A 25,879-nucleotide genomic window follows, 5' to 3' on the forward strand; every position below is an offset into this window, starting at 1 on the left:
AACAAGTGCATTTCCCTGGTGCATTGAAAATTGGACTTGGTCCATGTGTAATATATAACATTGCAAAGCCCCACCTTCTGCCTAAGGTGTGTGTGCTCACATGCTCTGCAAGTGATTGCTCCATTTCTGGCACTTTGGTGTCCCAGTTGCCTTGAAATCCATGACATGTCTGAACAGGTGTGCATCGTGGAGCCCTAACCTTCCCCAAGGACCCTACCCTGAGTCTTGGACCTGGGGATGCCTGCTCTTACTGCTCCTCTTTTCAGGCCCATTGCTCTGCTCCTTCTCCCCTTACCCCTCTGATTGGATCTCGGTTGCTTTTCTCTAGGGCTCACCTTGGTTTCTGTATGCATCTCACACTTGCAATTTGGGTTTTGTCTACTGTGTATAAAGTGACTCCTTGGATCAGGAACCCAGACACACTCATGTCAGCTCCTAGGACAGAGAATGGACAGGGGATGCAGGGGCTTAGAGGAAAGAGGGCTGCCAGAGATGTTCAGACCTCAGCTTCCTGACCCAGTCTCTGTCATTTAGCTTGAATCCTCTCATCTGCAAGTTGTTTGGCAGTGTTTGCAAAGGGTGTGGCACACACTTGGAGATGCTCCATGAAAGATGGCTGCTGTTGTTGCTGCTGCTGTGATTTTTATGATCTTATGACTGCAGGCCCCCTTGATGGCTGGATGGTGAGAGAGGAAAAGCACAGCTGTACCAGAAAGACAGGCAGAAAGAGGTCCCAGGCACAGCAGATCCCTTCAGGGTGGTGGAAATGGAGTTCTGCAAAGTACTGCTGCTGTTGCTGCTGCAGACTTTGCATGAATCTCATTTACCCTGGATCCTGGGGCCCATGCTGCTGAGAGCTTGTTCCAGGTCAAATGTCTGGGAGTTCCATCTAGATCCTAAAGCAAAGACCTGGCATTCTCAGGCCATTGCCAGCATTCTTTAAAATTTGGGTGGTCTTATTTCCAATGGAGAGATCTTTCTCCATGATTACCAGGTTGCTTGCAACTCTCAGAAGGGAGATAAAAATTACAAAGGAGCTCAGGAGTCCAGACCTTTTGTGTAGAAACAATAATATAAATTATCCTTAGATTTCCCTAATCAACCACTCACAGTATAGCTAAGACCCTGCATATCTGTGCATTCAATGAGATGAACAAGCATATAATATTGTTGCTGTGTGAGTAATTAAACAATGCATCTGAAAACTGAATATACTAGTTTTTGCATGTACCCTGAATGCTGACCTCTTGAAGAAAGAGAATCAATTAAGGGATGTTGAAGGGGTAGACTTTTGAGGGGACTCTGGAGAAGGATGTGGCATATTCAAGGACTTTTTAGGTTGGTGGCACCATTTCTTTATGACATCTAATTCCACCTTCCTTCTCATTGATTCAGACAGATCACTTGAGCACTGCTCTTGCATTTATCAGTCATTATTAAGGTCAATTTTTGGCTCACAAATAGAATGGATAGAGGGAGAAGATGGTGAGAGAGAAAGAGAGAGGAATGATGAGAGGGGAAGGGTAAAGTGAAAGGGAAGGAAGAAAATGCACAGATTTCTTTAAATATACTAACCAGTAGCTGATTTGTTAAATAAAATGGTTTAGAGTTTTCTGATGATTCTGAAAGAGAGAGGCAAAGAGGGAAGAAGGACAAGATGTTCATTTGGGGAAAAAAAGGAAGCAGTGGAGAATAAGCGTGGAGGCAGATGGTTACCTGTGCCTGCCATTAAGGGTGCTATTCACTCAGGACACCCTGGCTCAGTAGATCAGTGGTGGGCAGTGGGCATCTGGCAGCTGGCAGAAGGAATGAGACACTTGTAAGATCAGGTGTTTATGATTCGAGATGATATGTTCCTGAAGGTCAGGGTCATGTACTGGGGAAGGGTGCAGTAAGGGTGAGAGTCAGCTATTCTTTTTTATGATGATAGTGATTCAGGTGGATGTCATCCTGTTTCATATCAACTGATTGATTAATGTTGTCCCTTCACCCATGACACATGAATTGAGCTCCCACTATGGTGTGGTTCCTGGGGTATGGTGGTGAGTATAAACAGACAGTGTCTCTTCTCAGAAACCTGTAGTCCACTGGTGGAGATAAACATGAATGAAATCATCACACCAATGCACAGAAATCTGCATCAGCAATAAATGCCACGAAATGTGAACAATGATGGAAGGATTTGACTTGATCCTTTCTGCACTGAGGCTTCTCGAAGAACCTGATGCTTGCTCTGAGACATGAAGGGTGACAGGAGCTGTGTGGGCTAAAAAGGGAGAACAGTGAGCCAGGCAGAATGGGCAGCAGGCTCAGAGGCTACATGGTGGGAGGTAGCCTGGTGAGGATGTGGCTCTCTAAGAAGGGAGTAAAGCATGGGGAGGGCAGGGCTTCAAGGGTAGGTCTCCTTCAGAAGGTACAGATGAGGAAACTGAGGCTCAGGGAGGTGAAGCAATTTAAGCAATAATCCACAACTCAAAAGAACAAGAGCTGGATTTAGTCCTCATAGCTTGGGAAGCCTGTGGCTCCTAGTTAACGTTTCTCACATATTAGGGACTTAGTTCAGTGCGAGTGCTTGGGAAAGACCATGGTATTATCCTTCATTAAAACATTAACAATATTATGTATTGCTAATCAAGCATTGAGAATAGGCATATAACACCATATTATGACTTACACAAATAGAAGTGTTAATTAAATATGTACATAATAACCAGTCATGTCCTTGTTTAACTTGCAAACGTATGTTTCTGGAGTGTTTCTGGTTAGTGATATCACAACAGCAAGAATGACTGCTGACTGCTATACCAAGTTGAAAATAAACTTCCAGTAGCATGGGCAGGTGATCACAGTGTGGCTGCCTGCAATGCTTTCTAGGGTTGTATACCTGCAAATCATCATCACTTTACACAATAGATGCATTCTAGAAAACTCATGTCTAAGTTGAATTTGGGCAACTCCAACCTACAGGTAACCTGAAGAATTCTTTCCTCCAGAACAAAGTTTGATGCATTTATACATTTGTATAACACGTTTTCTCAAAGCAGAGCCTCCTTATAATATGTTGACAAGTTATTTACTTATCAATTTTTTTTTCGAGATGGGGGTCTCACAATGTTGCCTAGGCTAGTTTCAAACTCCTGAACTCAAACAATCCTCCCACCTTAGCCTCTGAAGTAGCTAGGACTACAGGTGCACTCCACCATGGCTGACTTCAACTCACATTTGAGCGCTAACTTTTGGAATATTATGGCAATTGTTCTGCAGTCTTCATAAGTGAGAAGCTGGTAGGTATATAGATTGTAAGTTTACATGTATACTTTGGTATTTTTTAACCTGGTAGTTACTACACAGAGTCTACAGCTCTAACTAGAGTGACTTTGGCTTTCTGTACTGGCCTGGAAGCCTTCTTGACACAGATGATACAGAATGATGGAAGCTGGGTGGCTGACCTTCAAGGATTCCGCCTATCCAGCCACATGCAGCATCTGTAATGGAATTCTTTCTCCCTGGCAGGATGTGCCTTGTGCTAAAAGCCACTTCTTACTGCAGGCTCACATATCCTGCATTGGTTTATCAGGCTTTCTGCTCTCACCTGCATTGTGTCTGGCTCCTTTTACCTCCCTGACTCCCAAACTCATTGTTTGTCTCCTCTTAGTTTTTGCTTGTGGTCTCTGTCTTTCCGCTCAAATGCAAATCACCTGCTGGCATGTCCTTAATGCTTCTCCCTTCACTTCTTCCTTGCACTCTCCCTCCCATCTTCCTTCCGGCCCTTCTTCCTCTCTTCCTGTCCTCTATTCTTCTCTACCTCCTCTTTTCTTTCTTCTTTTCTCTCTTTCCCTTCCTTCTTTCTTCCCCTCCTCAAACATTTATTGAACACCTAGTCTGTAGGTTTTATGGATTAGGACAAGGTCAGGTCAGCTTTCAACCCCCACTTTGCTCTTGTCAACATTTTGTTGCCCCTCTTGGACAAGGTGAAGTTACCGATAATTCATAGTGTGACTATCTAATTATTCCTTGAGGGGTGCTAGGTAGACCTGGCCCAGGGGCTGAATGGGGTAGGGGTCTAGATGTTAGAAAAAGAGCTTTGGATGAAAGCAGACCTGGGTTTCAATCTTGGCTCCCCTAATTACCGGTGTATGACCTTGGCAAGTTATCTAAACTCTCTGATCCTCAGTTTCCTTTAGTATAAAATTTTGGAGAGAAAAATTCCAGTCTCCTAGAATTGTTGGAAGGATTTACTGAGATAAAGCACAACAATCATCTGGCACATAGTAGGTGGTACACTTGATAACTCTCATTATGAATAGGGTGGCATAAAAATAGAAAGATCTTGAGGGTGAGCCTAAAAGATCAGCAGAATTCTATCAAATCCAAGGGGAAAGTGGAGAATCAGGAACAAGAGATGATCCCCAAATCTGAGATAAGACAAATGATGAGCAGATTAAACTTGAGAAAGGATGGGAGGCTCCAGGCCTGATTCACTGGCCACAGGTTGCCTGGGTTCCAATGTGGTTATGATGGAGGTGCTTTAAGGGGAGAAGAACATAGTTCTGGATTTCATTTATACCAGTCCTTACCCCAAGAAGCCCCCACAGTCTGATTGACCTGTGTTCTTCCAACCCCAAGATTGTTTTACGTGCCACTCAGTTTCTCCATCAGTTGTTTTTATTTCAACCAGAATAAGTTTGAGTCTATGTCACTTTGACTAATATGACACTAGGGTTACTAGTCAGCAACTTTGTTTCTAAGGCTGAACTTCCACTTGGCTCACCAGTAGCATTGATTTCAGCAGGTCTCAGGTTTCACACTATAAAATTGTGATGGTTTTATTGACCAATTAACATAGGTTAATGATGATTGTTTTTATGAAAGTTGGTGGGTCACCCTCTGGACAGCGGGCTGAACAGTGTCATCTCAGTCTTAATCATAGATCATAAAATGTTAGCTCTGGAACGGTCTCAGAAGCCACGTAGTGCAACCCTCTTGGTTAACAGAGGAGAAAACTGAGGCCTGGAGAGGCTAAACCCTGGATTCAAATGGCCAGCAGGATTGGGAGAGACATGGAAACACCCAGAACAGGCATTTCTCTTAAATAATTCCATCAAGAAACTCTGATCTCTTTCCATAACCACAAAACTTAGGCCTTCCAAATGCTAGGTGCAAAGATGATGCTGTGATGGGATTTGTAAGGCCACCTTGAGGAAGTGGATATTTTAAAGGCTAGATGACCTCTAAAATTTTGATCAATTTTGACATTCATCGTAGGGCATTATGTGCATGAAATACAGGACACTATATTATAATAATTTACTTGTTTGTTTAAATTATTTCTCCTGGAAAGAAGCTCCTTAAAGAAAGAAACTGTGTGACCCATCTTTGTTTCTCCTGTAGCCTTGCATATAGCATGTTCTTGATAAAGGATCCTCTGATTGAGTGAATGGCTGAAGATTTTTTGGAAGCCTGTGATGAAGAGTAACCAGGTCATTGACACAGAGGGCAGAGTGAGTTTCAGAGCAGAGGAGACTCTCATGTGGTTAGCGAAACTTAAGGAAAGATCAGATGTATGTGGAGACGGAGAAGGATTTGTGTTGAATAGAAATAATGACAGCTGCAGTCTAAGATTTTTTCTAGGAAAAAAAAAAACTTTCCAAATCCCATTTAGAAAGTCTGTATAGACAAACTGTGACATGGTACCACCTTGAGCAGTAAGAATAGGTTTTACAGATTAGGACAAGGTCAGGCAAACAAACAGCCCAAAGCCATGCCATCAGCTCGAAGCAGCTCTGCCCCAGCCTGCTGCTCTTCCTGGGCCTGGCTCACCCCTGCACATGGGACAAATCCTTACGCTGCTACAAAGAAACCAGCATGAGAATCCGAGGTCCACTATGTCTCAGAAAAAGGAAGAGAAATGTGAGAATACATTTCCATTTGGTTCACACTTCCGTAGACTGCATTTTTCCTGCCCCATATGCAAGGCGCAAAGCCCCTGGACCTCCCAGCCATCACCATGTGTCTGCCATCTGGCGGTTGTGTTCTCACCTGGAAGCTCCAGTTGCACCTGGGCCAGAGGACCCTGGCTGCTGGCACTTCCCTTCTGCCTGGCAACCTCCTGCTCTGAAACGGGGTAGTGGTGCTGACGGATTTTTTTAATTTTACTGGATCCTGCTCAAGGTTGGTGATCTGAGCCATCTTAATCATCCTAATGAGTTTGCAGGTGTTACTTCTCATTGGAAACACATATTCAGTGCTATCCATAATGTGTTGGTTTCCACACAGTGTGCTTAGGAGACAGGGGCTGTATCCCCAGGGTGATAATAGAAAATTAAATCTGTTCCCAGGGCCCCTTGTTGGCACTGAAAGAGCACGGAGAAGAGCCCCTGCATTTATAGGGGATTGCTTCCACCTGCGGGCATTTCCTTAATGCTCCTCCCTTCACTTCCTCCTTCCGTTCTCCCTCCCATCTTCCTTCCAGCTCTTCTTCCTCTCTTCTATTCTCCTCTACCTCCTCTTCTCTTTCTTCCTTCCTCTCTTTCCCTTCCTTCTTTCTTCCCCTCCTCAAACATTTATTGAGCACCTACTTAGTATGAGGCATGACATTAGGGGGATGTTGTGGACGGATGGGATACAAAAGTTGATCGAATCTGGCCTCTTTTCAGGAGGAATTCGCCAAATTGAGTCATAAAGAGAGAAAGCAAAGTTGTGCACAAATTTAACTGTCCCAAACTCCCATAGAGAATCCACTAAGTGTCACAAAGTGAGTCCGGGGAAACTGGGGTGTTTCCTCAGAAGCTCAAGTGCAGTTGGGGGATCAGAGAAGCTGTCCTGCCGGGCATAGCATTTGAGCTGGTCCTCAAGGATGGGTGCATCCCTGGATTCTCCACATCCAGAAATGGATTTTTCCTTCCCTAACATCCACAGCATTTCATCTCCTCCTCCAACGACATCTGCGTGGCTCCGGCTGCTCTGTGGGTGCCTTTCCTCTCCTCCCGAAGGCAGCCCTGGCTGCCCCCTCCTGCTATGGCCTCTGGGCCTTGATACCCTGAGACTCACACAGAACTGAGATTCCTACCTCTAGAGGTTTCAAATGCAATACAATATGGCTGGCATGGACTTTTATATTCAGGAAACACAGACAAGATAGTATACATTTTGAAAATGGACTTTAAAAAATGTCAGCCATATATATTATCTCAACAGAGAGAGAGAGAGAGGTGCAGTTTTTAAAAGGAGATAAAAATACCTGATGCGTATAGCTTCCAAAGAGGAATGGTGCCCTTTGGGAGGATTTGGGAAGCAGCCTTGAATTAGTCAGCCAATCTGGGAGGGCTTCATGGAGGAAGGTGGGCTTCAGGGACTGACAGGGCAGCTTGAGCTGCAAGGTTAGGATGGGAGTCTAACTGGGCATGTGGCACCCACTAGACTGGGGTTCTGTGAGGGCAAATACTGTGCCTCAGATTCTCCTGTTCCCACAGTAGCCAGTCTGAGGCCTGGCACATGCAAGAACAAGCTCTGAAGGAATCATATGGGAGAAAGCTTACTGGCAGGGCAAGACAGTCAAGGAAGTAGAGAGTGACAGTAATCGGAAGGGGCTGGAAAGATGGGCTGGGACAGAGCATGGGCAGAGGGAGGCCGGGCCACGAAGGCACCCTTGCAAAGGGCTTTGAGAAAGGGCATTCACAAAGGCAGCCAGTCTTGGGCTTTAAGGAATTCAATGCCCTGTCGGGGCTTTGGGTGGGGACAATCCAAATGATTGGCTTCATGAGCCTAGAAGCGGCTCTGCCCATGTAGCACCCCTGTGACTTTGGGCAGGTCCCCTCCCCTCATCTGCATTCCCTCCTCCTCATGTGGTCTGGCTCCCTGGGAACCCATGGTGGTGATAAGGTCAGAACAGAGTGCAGTGGGTGACTTGGGGGCCGGAAAAGGAGGCTGTGGTCATCACTGAAGGAAGACAAAACAAGGACATGCACCAAGGAACTGACACTGGGACCATCGAGAGAGAGGTCACAAGCTATGAAGTCTGAAAACTGATTCATTTTTCAAGAGTCGAGACTAAAACAAGAGGAGATAACAACAGTAGCCATTTATTGGGTATTTAATATGTCCCTAGTGCTACATATACATTATCTACCTGATAAGAAAGGAATGTTACATATACATTATCTACCTGATAAGACAGGTATTATTATTATCCTACTTTATAGATGGGGAAACTGAGGCTTAGAGAGGTAAAATGATTGTTCAAAGTTAACACTGTTAGTAAGTGGTAGAGCTAAAAATTGGAGACTTGATTTTTTACTCTTGCTAGAGCTCTTAGCCATTGCTTTATTCTGTCTCCCATAAGTAGATTCACTCGTGAGGCTTTATTTGGATTTTGAATGGCGACATATCATGGTTCTTCATGAAGCAAAGGTGGACAGGCATGTGTAGTGCTCAGGGTACATTGTGCCGGGAGAGCAAGAACCTTGGGAAGGAGAGCTGGGGATTTGCCATCAGAAGAAAGTGAAGAATAGGAGGCTTTCTCATTTGTAAAGCACTTTCACAGCTTTTGCCTTAATCCATTCTCGTGACAGCCTTGGGAGTTAGGCATGGATTTTTTTTAAAATCCCCATTTTCCAGTTGAGAAACCTGAGTCCTGGAGAGGTGAAAAGAATTGCCCAGGGTCATCTAGCTGGTACATGGCAGGAGAGCGGAACCTGGTTCTCTTTTCCCTGGGCTCTGCTGCTTGTCAGGGTTGGACATGAGATCCCCAGAGAAAGCCCACATTGCTGGAGGGTTAGAGGGGAGGGGGGGCAGAGCAGGTATGGCTGGGGTCCTAAGAGCTGAGGTGAGAGAAGTTCTGAGGCATGTGACCTCATCTTCAAAGTCCCAAGCAGGGCAGGGGGCTGGGGCTGAGGGTCTGAGAGCGGCATAGCCTGAAGTCCAGAGCTAGAGGACAATGCCAATGGCAAGGAGCCCAGAAATGAATGGGCCACCTCGAATGGAGTGCTCTGTGGGGTGCCCTCTCCAGAATCTAGGGGGTAAGGAGAAGGTCCAGCAGGAATCATGGGTTTGGGTCTCTGCCATTCCTAACTCCCTGGTGCCTCAGGCATCGACGGGCAGGATGCCTGGAGGCCATGGGCTGCAGCGGAAGGAACACATGCTTTGGAGACAGATTGCTCTGGATTCAACCCCTGGTTTGATCACTTCCTGCCTGTGATTTTGTGTCTCAGTTGCCCTTTCCATAAAATGGAATAACAGCTTTTTTTTAGTCATAAGTTGTGAATAAGTGAATGCATATTCACAATATCAAATGACTTATTCATTTCATGAGCTCAACATGTGCCAGCACTGTGCCAGGATAGTTCTGTGGGCCATGCAGACAAGGTCCCTGTCCTCATGCAGTTTACTTTGGTGCCCAGCACAACATAGGCCCCTAAAAGCACCACTTCATTCCTCCCATCTGTAAAGTTACCTGATTTCTGTCCTGCAGTGCCTGGCTCCATGCCAGTAATCAGGAAGGAGAAAGGGGTGAATCAGAGAAGCAGAACCTCAAACTTTGTTCTGAGCCCACAGTTTCTGAGCTAAGCAGGAGCCAGAGGTCAGCAGGGTGAGGCTGGGGGCTGGGGACCAAAGAGGAGGGTTGGCACGTCATATTCCTCCTTATCTGACTGCCCTTGCACCAGAGCCCAGAGAGTTTGACAATGATGATCTCAGTAGTGTTCAAAGCTTCCCGAGGGAGGCCAACAGCAAAGCAGAAAGCACTGGAGTGTGCTTGTGTTGACAGCTGCCGGATCAGAGGGCCTGGCTTGGGATCACAGGCTGCGGGGGTGGTGAAGCAGTGTGCAGATTCTGAAGCCTGGCACCCCCACCCGGGGCCCCAGGAGCCAGGTTCACCCACACAGAAACTCAAGGGAGGCTGCGTTTCCTAATCAACAGCCTGCACCGTGTGGTAGATGCTTTTCCTGTGGGTCATCTCTTTAAATTCTCCCAAGCCTGAAAAGAGAGATTATTGTTCCCATTTTCGAGATCAGAAAACTGAGGCTCAGAAGAGTGAAGTAGCCTGCTTAAGAACGCATGTCTTCATCATAATAGTTGGTATGCAGGTTTCCCTCCCTGTCTCCATCACACACACACACACACACACACACACACACACACACACACACACACACTGCAATGACTGTCTCTCTAGGCCGGCTAACAGTGGACCAAGATGAGCCCATCCTTGCCTGCATCCTGCATCAGTCCACCGGGAGCAGGCAGCAGGGATAAGGATGGGGAGGACGTGGTCAAGGAGTCGGACTACAGGCACCCCTGTGGCTCAGGGCATAGAGGGGGCTCAGGACACATGGAGCACCCCCTCGCCCACATTCCTTTTCCGGGTCTGCCTCTCTACCAGACATCTCTCCTTCCTCCTTTTTTGCATCCTCTTTGGATTCATTTTCTCCTCTCCTTTTATTTCCCCTTCTCTGCTTCCTGATTCACCCCTTGCTGTCTTTTCCAGTCTTTTCCGTTCCTCTCTTCAGTCTCTCCCTCTCCCTTTGCTTCCTTTCTCTGGACTCCCCTGGCTCCTTCTCCCTTTCTCATCCTCCCTCGTGTTTTCCTCTCTTTGTCTCTTCGATCTCCTTCCCTCCTTTTCCGTTTGTCTCTCCCTGGCCTGCGCCCCTCCCCGCCGCTCGCAGCCTCCCGCGCGCTCCTCCCTCGGCGCCGCCAACCCTCCCTCCGCCCCCTCGGCCCCGCCCTCCCCTCGCCAGTCTCCCCCTCCCCTCTCCGCTCTCGCTCTCCGTGATTTATTACTTGCCCTGCTGCTTCTGACAAACTATTTGTAGGAAAATGAGATTTGGTCCGCGCTGGATGGCTCCTCTGGGAGGCAGGCGTGGGGGTCGGGTGTCGGAGGCCCCGTGCGCCCCCCCACCCCCCACCAGAGCCCACGGCGCTCACGGAGCTCTTTAAGATAAATGAGCAAAATTAAGAGACTCACTGGGGGAAGAAAACACTGGATGGGAGCGAGCGAGAGCGGATGGTACTTGGTTTCCTCCCAGAAATGCATCCACGTGCGCCCCACTGGGGCCTCCCCCATCTGCTGCAGACTCCAGGGAACTTCCTCCCCTCAAAGACGAACTTCCAGCCCTGGAGCATGTTTCTTCCTTTCCTGGGATGTGGCGCTGAAAAGGGCAGAAACCTCTAGTAAGGCACAAGCAACAGATTGGGGGTGGAGCAGCAGGTCTCTTTGGAGGTGGCCTGGAAGAAACCGGACAGAGAGGATGGGAAGGGGAGAAACAGAAGAGTGTGACGAGGTGGGTGTCCAAGGGCAATGGGACAGGCAGTCCGGGTGGGAGAGTGGACCTGAGGAAGTAGCTGCAGGCCCAGACTACTTCAGCCACACCCTGATCCCCTGGGACCCTCAGGGCACAGGAGGCAGTGCTGGCTCCAACCTCAGTCCAAGGAGCTGTGGAAGCCTCAGAGGTCCTTGGCAGAGATGAGCCCTCAATTCTCACCTCAAAGGCAGCGATTGAAGTTTTCTCTTGTTTGGGTGGCAGAACTATAAGTTGTCAGAGGGCAGGTAGTGGGTCTTTGGTTTTTCTGCAGTGCCACAGGGCTAGCTTACCTTAGAGGCCATAAGTATTATTTGTTGAGATGCATGAATACAAGAATGTCTTATAAGCTCTAGGCTCAATTTTCAACTCCCACAGATGTGCAATGAAAACAATTTTCCAGACTACTTTTTTTCCCTCTTATTTTGAAAGCAATACACTTATTTTTTCCATCAAACATTAAGACAACAGAGATAAGCAACATAGAAGAAAATAATAATCACCTGTTATTCTACTACGAACAATTTGGAATTTATCTTAAGTCTCAAAATATATATGTATTAAAACACAAGGTCATATTGTAAACATTGTTTTGACCTGCTTTATTTCATTCGATGTTAAATTGTAAATACCTTTTTTTTTTTTTTTTTTTTTTTTTGAGATGGAGTCTCGCTCTGTCGCCCAGGCTGGAGTGCAGTGGCGCGATCTCGGTTCACTGCAGGCTCCGCCTCCCGGGTTCACGCCATTCTACTGCCTCAGCCTCCTGAGTAGCTGGGACTACAGGGGCCCGCCATCTCGCCCGGCTAATTTTTTGTATTTTTAGTAGAGACGGGGTTTCACCATGTTAGCCAGGATGGTCTCGATCTCCTGACCTCGTGATCCGCCCGCCTCGGCCTCCCAAAGTGCTGGGATTACAGGCGTGAGCCACCGCGCCCGGTCCCTTTTTATATCATGTTAAATATTTCTTCTAAAACAAAATTTTAAGTTGTTACAGTGATTTTTTATAGGTTTGTATGCTCTATGGATGATTTTTTTTAACAAGGCACATATTTTTGTTCATTTTGATTGTTTCTAAATTTTTGCTATTATCAAGATTTCCTAACTTTTGCATTATTCAGATTTTTTTTTTTTTTTTTTTTTTTTAGACGGAGTCTTGCACTGTTGCCCAGGCTAGAGTGCAGTGGCGTGATCTCCTCTCACTGCAAGCTCCGCCTCCTGGGTTCACGCCATTCTCCTGCCTCAGCCTCCCAAGTAGCTGGGACCACAGGTGCCTGCCACCACACCCGGCTCATTTTTTGTATTTTTAGTAGAGATCGGGTTTCACCGTGTTAGCCAGGATGGTCTTGATCTCCTTACTTCGTGATCCGCCCACCTTGGCCTCCCAAAGTGCTGGGATTACAGGTGTGAGCCACCGCACCTGGCCTAGATCATCCCATTTTTATCATAGTCAGTGTCTTAGTCTGTTTTGTGTTGCTGTAACACAATACCACAGCCTAAGAAATTTATAAAGAAAATTTTTTTTGTTCTTACTCTTCTGGAGGCTGGGAAATCCAAGGTTGGGGGCTGCATCTGGTGAGGACCTTCTTGCTGTATCATCCTAGCCGGGAAGGAGGAAGGGGAAAAGAGCAGGAAGGAGCAAGAGAGAAAGCAGGGCAGACTCATCCCTTTTATCAGAAACCTGCTCCATCAATAACTAACTCCCATGATAACACCATTAATCCATTAACGAGGACAGAGCCCAATAACCCTTAAATATCCATCCTCTTAACACTGTTGCATTGGAGATTAAGTTACCAACATTTGAACTCTGGGGGACACATTCAGACCATAGCAGTCAGTTATAAAAGCGTGATTTATGCTTTTTCCTAGTTTCATAAGCATAAGATGTGACATATTTTAATAGCTGACAATTCTACAGGGCCTGATCTGAGTTCCTAGCCTAGATCAGCCTTTCTAGAACTTTGTAGATTTTCAAAGATGACCAGTTCTGCAAGCCAGGGTAATCTGGCATGTTCTGGAAGCAAAGGAAGTGGATATGGCTTCAGCCATAGGAAACAAAAAAGATATGATATTTAAAGAAAAAGATTATTCAGTTCAAATCTTCCTAAAACATTTACGAAACAAATGTGCACCAAGTTTTAATACTGGGTGAAGTTACCTCTGATTGGTGTTAACTATGTTATGTGAGGATACCAATTTCAAAGTATATGAAAATGTAAAACTTGAAAATGGTGGAGTCATCCTAAGTATTACTTCATAAAATACAAGTAGAGAAGAAAAAGAAGATTTGACATATAAAGATACGAGAGAAAAACACTCAAAATTATGTGACCTCACACAGGTAACCCTTTCAAGTGATGGGGCACTTTTCAAGTGGAAGCTTTCCTCCCTGCCTTGAAAACAAGAATGTGTGACTGGTGTCCATTTGTATGTCTGTCTGTCAGTCTGGAGTGTGTGGTCTTAGGAAGGCTGGAAGATGATGCAAAACACTTTGATCATTTGTTCTTTGCGTTTCTGCTGCTATTAGCACTTGCATGTGCTGTACTGAGACTTCTACTGACACAACTCCTCCAATCAATGTATTTCTTGGAGGACACCTTACTCACTTGTTCTAAACTTCAGTGTCCTGGGTCTCTGAGTGGCTCTCTAGGGCAGTAACGGTGGGAGGGCAGAGTTCACAAACTATGTTCAATATTTGGAAAGGACTGATTACCTACAGTAAAGTGACTTGGGCTAGTAAAATGTCAGGTTTCTTTGCTTTGGGTTGATTTATAACAACTCAATTTGGGAATACGTACTATCTCAATGGATTGCTCTGATTGGCATTTTTCTAGGTCCTTGATTTATAAATGAAAGGGAGAACTGATTATTCAATAAATACAGTCTATTTTTCCTAATTATGTAGGAAATCATGTCTTTGTAATAAAAGGAGTGTTTGATAGAATGAGCTCATGAAGAAGAGTGTAGTGTTCAACTATAGTTCTCTCTACTCCCCAGATGCCATTGGGGTAAAAGTTACCCAAACAAGAGAAGATTCTGTTGACCCTGAAGTTGAAGTATGGTGGAGATTTTCTAGAAAAATCCATTCAAATCTTTTTCTCTCCCAGATCATGAAGGAAAGAGGAGGCGTCTACTGAATGTAAGGTAGAGCCAAAGGCATCTATTGATGACTGAAGAAGAGGCATGAATATGACAAAAACAGGAAGGTAGGCCAAAAAAGATGATTCATAGATGATTCAACATGGAGGCCCCAACCTTATTTTATTAGTAAAAAAAGATGTGGTGGCAAGTGTATGGGGAGAGAAAAGAAATTAAAACACCATGATCCTTTTAATACAGTCCAAGATTTACTCTGCATAATCCAGTCATATTTTTGACAGTAAATTCATAGCTCCTCTGTCCCCAGTAACAGAACGGTGATCTTTATGGGGCCGGCGTGAGGAAGCTGGCGGGCACGGCCCCCGTCACATTAAACTGTCTCAGTGAAGAGGCAATTTGTTTGATATTAAGAGTTATAAAAATATCAGCACAGAGCGGTTATGCCAGGGATATTGCACAAGCCAATCTGAATTTTAATGTAGTGTGAGCAATAAGCACCGCATTCCTGAGCTCCTGCCACACTCCCTCTGCAAATATTTGAAGAGAAAAAGACAGAGGTTTTGAGTGTCTTGCTCTTTTCCACTTGTGCTTCATGCGGGCTTGCTCATCACCAGATGTGTGGGAGCTGGCAAGGGTTTCCAGGTGCCTGGAAGGGGGGTTCTCAGGAAGCCCCACACAGGAGATCCAATGGCATCCCTGGCATCGTGTGCAGAGAGAATGGGGTCGGCTTCCTAGCACCTCTGTTCGTGCCCCTCACTCACTCAAGGTGTCATCTAGCAGCCAGGACTCAGCTCCTCCACCCAGTGTCTCCTGATTTTCATCCCAAGTATTCTTTAGTGTCTTATTCCAATGGAACGCCATTGCCCAAGCATCCCACTCCCCTCCCCATCCTCTAAGTCCACCATAAAATGCCCTTCTTATCTTCTTACTGTGCCCCCATCACACCCCGTCTCTTTAGCCCATAGGTGTACACTCTGACCTCTCCCCTCAGGCCCTTCCATCAGTTTTCTCATTATTTCCCTTTACCGCCATTCCTCTCCCTTCACCTCCCAGTCACCTCTTCCCAGCCTCTTCTCCCATAAATATCCATTTAACCTTACAGATAGATCTTTCTGAAACATGCTAACCAATTAATTTCACTTCCACAGGGTGCCTACTCTGTGTCAGGCATTGGGTAGTGGCTGAAGGAGACACAAACATGAACAACACCTGGTGGTCTCTGCTCTTCAGGGACTCACAGTCCAGTTGTGAAGGGGAAGAGGGGGTGCCAGAGGTGATGGGGGTGCCAGACAAGGATTCTGGTCATTTTTACTTTGAGGACAGAGTGAGATAAGATCCCCAGGAGAGGTCCAAACACAGGCAGTAAAGGGCCTAAGAAGGAGAGATGTGTCTGAAGAGGGGAAAGAGAGAACATATCATGGTGGCGACTGGCTATGCCTTCAAGAAGGGGTACAGTTGGCAGGTGGCAGTTGGAGAACTGGGCAGAGAAGAGTCTATCTTAGGCAAAGCAGAGAAATGCTCTGATGGGGGAATTCATGGGGAATTGTTAAGAAATAGTGAGTCATCCAGCTTGTCTGACAGGGCTCAGAGAAGTGCAGGGACATGCCCAAGCTAATGAAAAGGTGAGTCCGATATAGCATGCTGTTTGTCTGATTCCCAGTTCAGAATGCTCTTCATTACACCACAGCAGTAATTCTCAAGGTGTTAGCCTGAGACTCCTGGACTCCTTGAGATCCTTTCAGGGTGTCTGAGAGGTCAATGCTGTTTCAAGGTCGTTTGCCTTTGCTTTCTTATTTACCTCCGGGTGTACAGTGGGGCTTTTTACTGTGCATTTGGAAGATCTTTGTAACTCAGTGATCCAACATTTTCCAAGTGACCAGTGCATGATATTACAAATCATGCATGGGTGAATCATCCGCTCAAGGCCTCTCTCTCTCTCTTCTTCTCTCTCTCTTTCTCTCTCTCCTGGCTCTTGCTCTCATTCTACCCACCTCCATCACATCAGGCTTATCCTTGAATCCTTTCATCTGGAAGTTTATTTCCTTCCCCTTTCACCCAACTTCCTTTCTGCAGCACCTTCCACTGTACTCCCTCACTCCCTTCCTTCCCAGATTCCAGATCTAGGCTACTTACATTTCTCAAGCCAGCCTCCATTTCTCCATCTTCTGTTATCCCTCAAACTCCCTCTCCAATGTTTCATAATTCTTTCACAGGCATGGTCTCCGTTTCTTCTAGAGTTTTTGGAGGCTATCTATGCTTCTTAACTTTGGTCACCAGCTTCTCAAAAGTTCTTATTTGTTGCTGCAATGATAGATAAGTGTTCACATTTGTGAATTATGCTCATCACTTTTGAAGTTATGAGAGACTCTTCTGAACCTCCCAGCCCAGCCCTGGGTCCAACTTAGTGCAAACAAGGAGGGGTGTCCTGGCTCTGATGGAGGGAGCATGGGCTTGGAGACAGGCAGACCTGTTGCAGAGCCAGCTTTGCCACAATCTAACAATGTCGGTTTAACCAAGCCACTCCATCCCTCTGAGCATTAGGCCCCGTGTTTATTGAGTGAAGATAATAATACTCACCCTGCAAAGTTCTTATGAAAATTCAATCAGAATATACACATATGGCAGAGAGTAAGTGCTCATGTAGATTCACTATTATTATCAGAAAGAGACATGATGGCAATCAGTGAATGTGAGTGGTCATTACAAGGCATTTAATTATTTGTCTTGATTATTACAAATTAAACTATAACCTAAATCACTAGTTCTCCAACTTACACAGCACAATCACTTGGGCAGCTTGTTGAATATAAGGAGGCCCCAGATATTCTGATTCAGTAGTTTATGAGTAGAGTCTTCACATCTATAATTTTAATGAACTGATGTATACCAAACACTGGCCCATATATTTTCTGAGTTTTCTGGAATCTTAAATTTTCCCACTATTTAATGAGATTATTCAGTTCTTAAAAACCTACACAGCTTGTGTTTGATGATCTTTATTAATATCTCACAGGTTTTCATTCATTCTTTCATTCATTCACTCACATGCATTCTTTGTATTGAACTAATGGTTGCAATATCTCACCAAACTGTCCTCTGCATAACCCACTAGCCCCTGCCTCCCACCCCTTCCGTCTTTCACAGAGCATGGTGTGCAGTGGAGCCAAGAGACCTTGGGCACTTTCTTTAATATTATCAAACCTCCTATTTCTTTGCTTTTGCAGTGAGGACAGCACAATCTCATGGGGACATTGTGAGGATCGTCCAGGCTAATGTGTGTGTGGGCCTTCTGTGATGTGCCACCCAAATGCTACTTCTAACCATTTTCTTTTGTGGAAAGCCCAGGTGCTTATTCATGTAAAAGAGGGATTGGACTTGCCAGTCTCTGAGGCTTCCAGTGTTTTTGTACTTACTCAAACTCTCCATCGCTCCAAGGACAGTGCTGGCTCAGGATGGGCTGAGTGGACACCAAAGTCTGGCCTCTCCTCCCCCTCCCATTCAATCCTGACCAAACAGCACCTGCACTGTCTATACTCAGCTTTTGCAAATATGCTCAATGCTTTGCAAGCCTGTTGTCTTTTTTATTCTTCCTACATAATTGTTTGGACTTGCTTGATGTACCTTGAATGGAGGATTCTTTATATAATCTAAATGCTTCTTCACCTCACTACCTGTGGGTACAATGAGGTCACAAGGGACTCTGTGCTTGGCTCCTGGGACTGGAGAGGTGTGGCTAGGAACTTGAGGCCACCACCTTCTGCCATCCTCCTGTGGCTCCTCCTAGCCATCTCAGGTGGTACTCTGGGCTTGCCATGATGCTTTCATGAATCTCTTTGCTGTGCCTCTTGCTTGTTGTATGTCACCATCATCACTCTGCTCAGGCTGCCCCTTGAAGTGTGGCCACCACCACTTTCTCTGGACAGCTATTATCTGAACATCTACAGAATGGGAAGGGAAAGGCTTCTCTCTTCCTTTGTGACTCCTTTACAGGGATGCCTGAGCTCCAAGATGTTCCAGCTCTTTTCACTTTGCATATGCACGACCTTTTCTCTGCAAGGAGGCTCAAGCAGTGTTGGCCTCATTCTATGCAGAAACATTTCCATTTACTGCTCAGGTCCTGTTTCCAGATTGGTTCATAATGGTGGCTTCTTTCCCTTGGGATCTATCTCCTAAAGTTCATCACTGCAATTTGGCTTTCATGAAGGCATTGCCAATGTCATCAGACATGTCTGTATATGTCCAAATCCCAAATTGTTTGTTTGTTTGTTTTTTGGAAGCTTCCCAGCCCTGCATAAATCAGTTGGCACAAACAGACTGAGGTGTGGGGTGCAGGGAGCCCAAAAGCTTATCCGGGACATAGAGTTATACCCAGAAAGCATGCTAAGGTGGGCAAAATCCTCTCTGCCATTCTTCAAGTGAGAAGCACCTACAGGTAGGATCGGGTAATTAGAGTGTGCAATGGAGGTGGATGGTGAAGAAAATGGCCTGCCCTGCCTATATGAAGAGTTATTGTTTCTTTCTTTGTCATTTATTTATTTGGGAAATAGTACCATAGGGTCAGCATTGAGAGAGCAGGAAGCTTTGAAGTGTTTTCCAGAGAGTGATGAAGGAGAAGCCAGGGAACACAGAATCAGGAGAAGCCAGTAGGTGGGTGAGGCCAGGACCCTCTGCCTCCTGCAGGCAGGCTGTGGAGCTCAGCAGTGATTCCTGTCATGGGCGCTTCCCCAGCTGTTGTGTGGAAGCCACTCAGTGAACGGCTGTGGCCCAGAATCAGGAGAAAGGGGGAAGGAGTGAGGGTGTAAAGGTAGTGGAGGGGGGTAAAATTTCTAGATTAGTTTCAGGGATGCAATAAACTTGATGAATTGAGAAGAGCCTCCAGTCTGTCTTCAGAATTATTGTATTAATTGCAAAGGTATGATAAGCACAGAGGATCCTTCTCCTCAAGGAAAAGGAGATGTGGCATCCTTTACTCATCTCTCATCCCACACTCACTGCGTGCTCTCTGTGACATTCACTTTCAAGGCCCTCTCTGTCAGGGGACTGGCAGGACCTGCACTTGACTGGTGTTGGTGAAAAGTGGGAAGGAAGACCACCCGCTGGTGCTTCCAGTGCAGAGTCCAAGCCTGGATCAGGAACTGCTGTGAGAAAAGAGAGTACAGAGACTGGGAAACCTTGCTGAGAAAGAACAGACAGGAGTCAAAGAGGGAGTGAACGCCAAGCAAAGAGAAAAATGAAGAGCAATGACCGTGCGGTCCTAAGGCTAATTGTGTTGCTAGCAATAACTGGGAAGTTGGGAATGGGCTCTGGCTTGGAAGGAAAGATAACAAGCTTTGCTTCAGACAAGTTTTGTTGCAGGGGTTGGAAGGCCAACCAAATAGAGATCTTTCATAGACAATAAGAAATATGAGATAGGAGAAGGACAAGGGGTCAGGGTTTGAGAGTAGGCCGAGCAGCTGTCAGATAATGAGAGCAATGCCGGGTTAGTGAGATAATTCGTTTGTCTGCTTAAGAAACATTCATTGACTGCCTACTGTGTGCCAAGCATGGATCTGAGCCCTGGGAATACTACAGTGAATCAGACAGGGAGGGCATCTTGAATGATTTGTACAGAGGAAGAGAATAAGTGCTGTCAAGTCACGAATGGGGCCGGGGGAAGGAGAGAGCATCAGTGTGGGAGGTCAGCCTGGGATGCAGGAGGCCAGGAGAGGAATAATAGCATGATGGATCAGCTGGGGCCTGAGCAGACCTGCATATAACAGAAAATCCAAACAGTGGAAGCCTAAACAAAGCAGGACTCTATAAGTATTTCACAAAGCAAGAAATGTGGAGGCGACCATCCAGCTCTGGTTCAGGAATGCCATCAAGCAGAGGACCAGGCACTCTGCCCCCCAGAGCTGCATAGGCAACTGCCTGCATCGTGTGATCAGAGAGTCAACCATGGTCCCCTGTCCCCAACTTCAGAACCTTGCATTTCTTCCTTCTCTGGTTTGAGGTTGTGGTTTTCAAAGTGTACTCTGTGGTGCCCTAAGGAACTGTGGACATATCTCAGGGGTAGCCATGGGGACTAAAAGGCCAGCCAAGGGGGCTGGTCCTCAGGCACAGTTGGCCACATTTTAAACACAGCCTTTATCATAGTTATATTATATATGATTATATGCATATATTAACCCCAATTGCTCTTTCTCAGAAGAGTCCCTAAAAATGTTTCCTAGAGGAACAGTTTGCCTGAATAGCTTTCTAGAGTGAGCAGGGGCTCATTTGTGAAGACTACCCACTGCTGCCAGAGGTGTGGTCTACCAAGGCACTGGATAATGTGTACATATATGTGTGTATGCATGGGCATGTGTGTGCATGTGCTGCATATGCACTCATCTGTGTGTCTTTCAGTGCCATGTACCTTTCCTCCCCTCAGTGACCTGAGTCCTTCCCTCCCTGACGATGTCTGCATCCTACCCCCGAAAACATCCCTTATCCATTCCATATCTGGGGTCTTCTTTCCCATTCTTGTCCTAAAGCACAGTACCATGTTGTAAATTTATTTTAGAACTTGTAGCTTTGGGGCATTTGAGGTGGGGACAGAGGAGAAGAAACAGGCAGGGAGAAAGGGAGTCTAGAGAAGAGGCACAGGATGCCAAGTCATGCTTGCTTCCAGGGAGGAAGCCTGGGCTGCTGGAATTACAGTTGTGAGACCATGCATTGTCCAGTCTCCGTGTCAGTACCATCACTCTCCTAGACTTGAGAAGGGACCTCACATTTGGTAAGAGTAAACTGTGTGCCTGACATTGTCCTAGGGGCTCTCCTATAATCATTTACTCTTCATACCAACCCTGCAAGACAGGCAATTTTACCCTCATTTTATAGATGAGGAAGACTTGCTTCATTTATATTTGAAGGCTGCTATGAAGGCCAAAAGAAAATGTGTGGAAGAAAAATTTAAAATAGGGGAGGTGTTGTCCACGTGCATGGGTTGATATCCCTGGCTAACTTTCCTCTTGACCCATAGACCAATTTAGTACCAAAGAAAATTCATCTACCCTCTTTCTGTCCCTAGCCTACTGATGACAAAAATGGAACATAGAAGGAGAAGGTCCAGGAAGATTCTGTATTTCAAGGGAATAAGATACAAGTCCTGCCATAAAAGCCTCCAGAGAAGCAGGTAGAAAAATAGCCAGTCTTGTGGTTGAACTGAAGGTGCACGATATAAGCTCTGGCTGGTGACTTTGTTTCTCCAAGCTTTAGTTTCTTTATCTGTATAATGGGATCATAATAGGACCTGCCTCATCGGGTTGCCGTGAGGAGTGAGTAAGTGAATGCACATAAAGAAATTGGCAGTGTCTGCCATGGCGATGGCTTAGTAGCTGTTAGCTTCAGTTATTAAGGTTTACAGATGAGGAAACTGAGGGACACTTTCCCTAAATCCCAAGCCCGGAGAGTTCAGACTGATCTCTCTCTCCTTCTCCTGCTCAGAGCCTGGCTCCCTGGAGCCCTTTCTGTTGTTTACACATGTGTGTGGGAAGTGCTGCTGGGGAGGGTGTGTGAACAAGGCTTTATGGCTAAGGAGGGATTGGAGTCATGTTTCCCTGTGGGTCTCATTTCCCAATCTGGCAAGGCTTATTCAACTCCCCACTTTCCTCACTGCCCCTCCCTGCCATCCTCCCTGTCGCTCCCTTTGTGAAGGGCCTGTTTCGACTCCTGGCTAGGAGAGTAGCAGTTGGGAATCCCTTCTTTTTCTAAATTTCTAATTTTATTATAGTCTTTTATAACTGTCTCAAGAGTCATCCTCAGGGACGATATTTCCCCTATTTTGTCACAGACTCAAACTAAGATTCTTAAAAGTCTCTTTAACTTTAACTTTGAAAAAAGATCCATGGAATTATTTTAAAGGAAGGTGAGTATGAATAAGAAAATGTGAAAGAAAGTGTTAGGAATGGGGAGAGAGAGACAGAAGTTTCTACACTGGTTGATGTAAGATCAACAAGACCCTATGGAATTGAGCCATTTGTGGAGACCCTCAGGAGGGAGAGATGGCCCAGGACAGTGCAGAAAGTGTGGGGTAGGTGGGGTGTGTGACCGGGGTCCTAGGTCTTCCAGTAGTTTGACCCTGGTACTTTCCACAGAACTGAAATATGGGTGTCTCAGGAACCTACTAATATGAAGGGTTTGAGTGGAAATCTCCTGCCATAGTGGCTTGAGAAGACTCCAGGGAAAGGTAACCCATTTACTCACAGCAGCCATTAACGTTCAGACCCAGAGGAGTTTAGCAGATTAGCTCTAGATTTATAAGACCCAGGAAAGTGGATACTGGGCTGACCAGGAAGGGATGGGGCTGAGGGAAAAGAGGAGACCAAGCCTGCTGGACCGAATTTGGAGGCACCGGTGACCCCCTGGGGGAGAGGCAGATTTTGTAGGGTCTTCATTTTCTTCTGGGGCCAGTCCAATTATCTTGGGTGGTGGGTCTGCTAATGGAGGTGGGTTGGCTTGTGGAGGACATGAGAAGGGAGAGAGATCAGGATATTATATTTAAGGAATTATGTTAAAGGGTAAAATCTAGAAGCCATAGTCTAAAAGAATTTATATTTAGTTGGGGAAAATCAAAGGATGCAGAAAAGAAAACAAGACAAGGAAATTCTGGTTGTGCCTAAATCCCAGGAACAGGTGCTCAGACCTAAAGAGCTGCTGCCAACCAGAGCTCTTGGTGGACTGACTGATGGCAAGGTGTCCGACTTCTTAGGGTCTCTTGAAATTCCTTTCTTTTGATGCCACACAGAGGCTCTAAGAGAGGAGGTCCTTGTTCTGACACCCTGAGGGTGGGCTTTGAACTCTGCCTCCCCTTCACTATCTCATCCTTGGGAGCACCCCAGGCTTCCTGGACTCTCAGGGGGTAAAGCCAAGATTCCCAGGTGGGACCTCTCATCTTTGGGGAATGCCTGCCCCACACACCGAGCCTGAACTTAGAGCACACAGCTGTAGGGTGTCCTGAGTTGATCTAAGGTATGAGCATCTGCTAGGGTTATTTTATTATCTCCTCTGGCCTGAATGATTACTCTCTGTATTTAAACAAACATAAAAAGGTAAAACAAAAATAACAAAACAATGTATTCTCAGTCTTGCATCTCACCAGTCTGTAGGTTCGGATAATGACATGTGAATCATAGCTTTGAGCCTTGCTACCTTTGAGCTCCCACCTGCTTCACAGTGTCTTACTGAGTTCCCTCCTCCCAAACATTCTTGGACTACCCATGGGGTAGTTGCTAGAGGCTGTGCAGTCCGAGCTACCATTTGATGCTGGCTTCTGTTACTTTGGCCTGTCACCTCTACTATTGAGCAAGAGTCTTTGTTTGTCCCAGGATTGCCACGATAAGGGGCTCTCTCTGTCATCCCAAATTGCTGCCAACTGGCTCAACCACTGGTGTTCGTAGGAAGTGAGAACATTGTGTCCCCGGTGCTTCATTGAGGAAGATCTCAAAATAGCTTTGTCTGTACCTCAAAGGGTCACAATTTAGTGGGACAAAATTTAGTCAATTTACAAACGCACAGACGTTTCTTCTCTTTGTGTCTTTTGGATAGCTGAATGGGGACGAGTTCCTAATGTTACTCAAATGCTGCACACAGAGCCACCGTCACCCTAAGCCCCAGTCCTGCTGCTGTGTCTGGTTCACCTTGGCAGACTTTCTTACTTTCAGTGAATTATCTCACAGGGTTCATATCATTCCTTTCTGCAAATGGGCTTCCATAAGGAAACACCAAGTAGCTCACCAGACATGTCTACTTATGTGCAAACTCCTATAGAATCAGTTTAAGATTTTTTTTGAGCAATATCTCATTTCTGCTGTAATCAAGGGATCACATAGATTTTTGAGAGAAAGGTATTTTCCAGCTCCATCTAGCAGAGTGTTCCAGGGGCTCCCTTCTGGCCCAGCTGGGACACCTAGTTATTCCAATTAGCAGCAATACCTAGGCAGAACTTTCCTGAGGACCGAATCTGCCAAGAGTTAGTCCAACACATCCACTACCACCACAAAGCCCAGGACCAACTTCCCACTCCACTATGGCTGAATAAACCATACTCCTGGGGCAAGACATGCTCCCAGATCCCTGCACTGAATTATCTCATCATGCAAGACCTCCACTATTTTGGGAAATAGTTACTGTCTTCTGTCTTATGCAACAGGGCACACTAAAGACCCAGAAGGGAGAGAACATTTACTTTAATTAGTATGGACTGTAATGCAGAGAACCTGTAGCCATGAATCAAGTATATTCAGACCAGAGTGGATCTGTCTGAGAGAAGGCAAAGATCTCCTTTTTCAGACTCATGAAGCTTCATGAAATGTCTTTTCTTGGTCACTTATTATTTATGGGCCAGGTTAATGTGCCTTATTGGATCCTTGTCATAACATCTCCACTGCCCATAACATCTTCTCCCTTTTCTTTCCTTCTTTTCTTTTCTGTATCCCTTCCTCCTTTCCTCCATTTCCTTCTGTACCTTCCCTCTCTCCTGCCTTCTACCTATACACCTCACACGCTGCTGGGTACTAGAGGGATGAGGGTTGGGTAAGGCATTGTCCTTGCCCTTGAAGGGCAAGCACATCATATGACGGGGAAGGCAGATGTGTACACAATTAACTATAATAAAATATGGTGAGCAGTGAAATGGAGATCTGCCCAAAGTGTCCTGGGAGCACGGAGGAAGGAGCAAAGAAGCTGCCTTAGAGGTCATCAGGAAAAGCTCCACTGAGAAGGTGATTTCTGAGCTGCCTTTTGAAGACCAAATAGGAATGTCGAGGTGCGTAAAAACGGGAAGGGCTTTCGAGGCAGGGAGACTGTGAAAATAGTGCATGGCATATAGTCTGATTTGGCCAGCGGATAGAGTAAGGAATGCAGGAACATTTGAACAGGTAGCTCAGGATCACTATGGGCTGGGATCTGAGTGTCATGCTTAGGAAATGGCATTTTGTTCAGTATATGGTGGAGAGCCACACACAGAATTTTTATTTGGGCAACACTTCTTGACTGGCAAGGCTCACACAGCAATACTCAAGGTGGGCAGTGAAATTTGTGTGTAATTGTGTTTAATCAATCAATGGATCGAGTTTTTATTAATGGCCAGTGTTTGCAAGGTTCTGTGTTAGCTACAGTGAGATTGCAAAAGATACATTATGATTCATATACTATAGGAGGTCAGATTCATCCTCACTTAGAAAAAGTTAAGGGTAGGGAGGGGGAGTACAATACAAGATTGTGTGGTTGAAGGGCTGAGCAAAGAAGAGAGAGCAGAGGAGTCTGAGTAGGTCTACCAGAGGAGGAGGTCTGAAGGATCAGCAAGAGGCCATTCTTCATAGGGAAGCCACATGGGCAAAGACTTACATGGAGTGTGTGTGGACAGCGAGGTGCAGCATCACAGGACCTCTGGGTGGGGAGGAACTTAAAAACCCTTCTAGAAAAACTATGCATGCCTTCCCAGTCCTACATGTGGGTTTCTTCTG

The 25,879-nt window shown here is 45.9% G+C and overlaps 2 long non-coding RNA genes across 3 annotated transcripts in view; one reads left to right on the top strand and one right to left on the bottom strand.

Moving 5' to 3' along the window:
* Positions 1-315: 315 nt before the first annotated feature.
* LOC105373567 (uncharacterized) lies at positions 316-11,259 on the bottom strand. 2 transcript variants are annotated; one of them, XR_923223.4, is made up of 3 exons: positions 10,961-11,042; positions 1,717-1,796; positions 316-676 (listed from the first exon to the last, which is right to left on the bottom strand). It is a non-coding gene; the product is annotated as an uncharacterized LOC105373567 (long non-coding RNA). The 2 variants fall into 2 exon arrangements; XR_007087201.1 differs by lacking the exons at positions 316-676; positions 1,717-1,796 and adding an exon at positions 8,066-9,972 and having other exon boundaries at positions 10,961-11,259.
* Positions 10,761-25,879, top strand: part of LINC02966 (long intergenic non-protein coding RNA 2966) — a 101,028-nt gene continuing 85,909 nt past the window's right edge. Inside the window, exons 1-2 of the long non-coding RNA NR_183358.1 lie at positions 10,761-11,276; positions 14,402-14,500. This is a non-coding gene — a long non-coding RNA (long intergenic non-protein coding RNA 2966). The remainder of the gene's footprint in view (positions 11,277-14,401; positions 14,501-25,879) is intronic.

Source organism: Homo sapiens, chromosome 2 (genome assembly GCF_000001405.40).
Source record: "Homo sapiens chromosome 2, GRCh38.p14 Primary Assembly".
Lineage (NCBI taxonomy): Eukaryota > Metazoa > Chordata > Mammalia > Primates > Hominidae > Homo > Homo sapiens.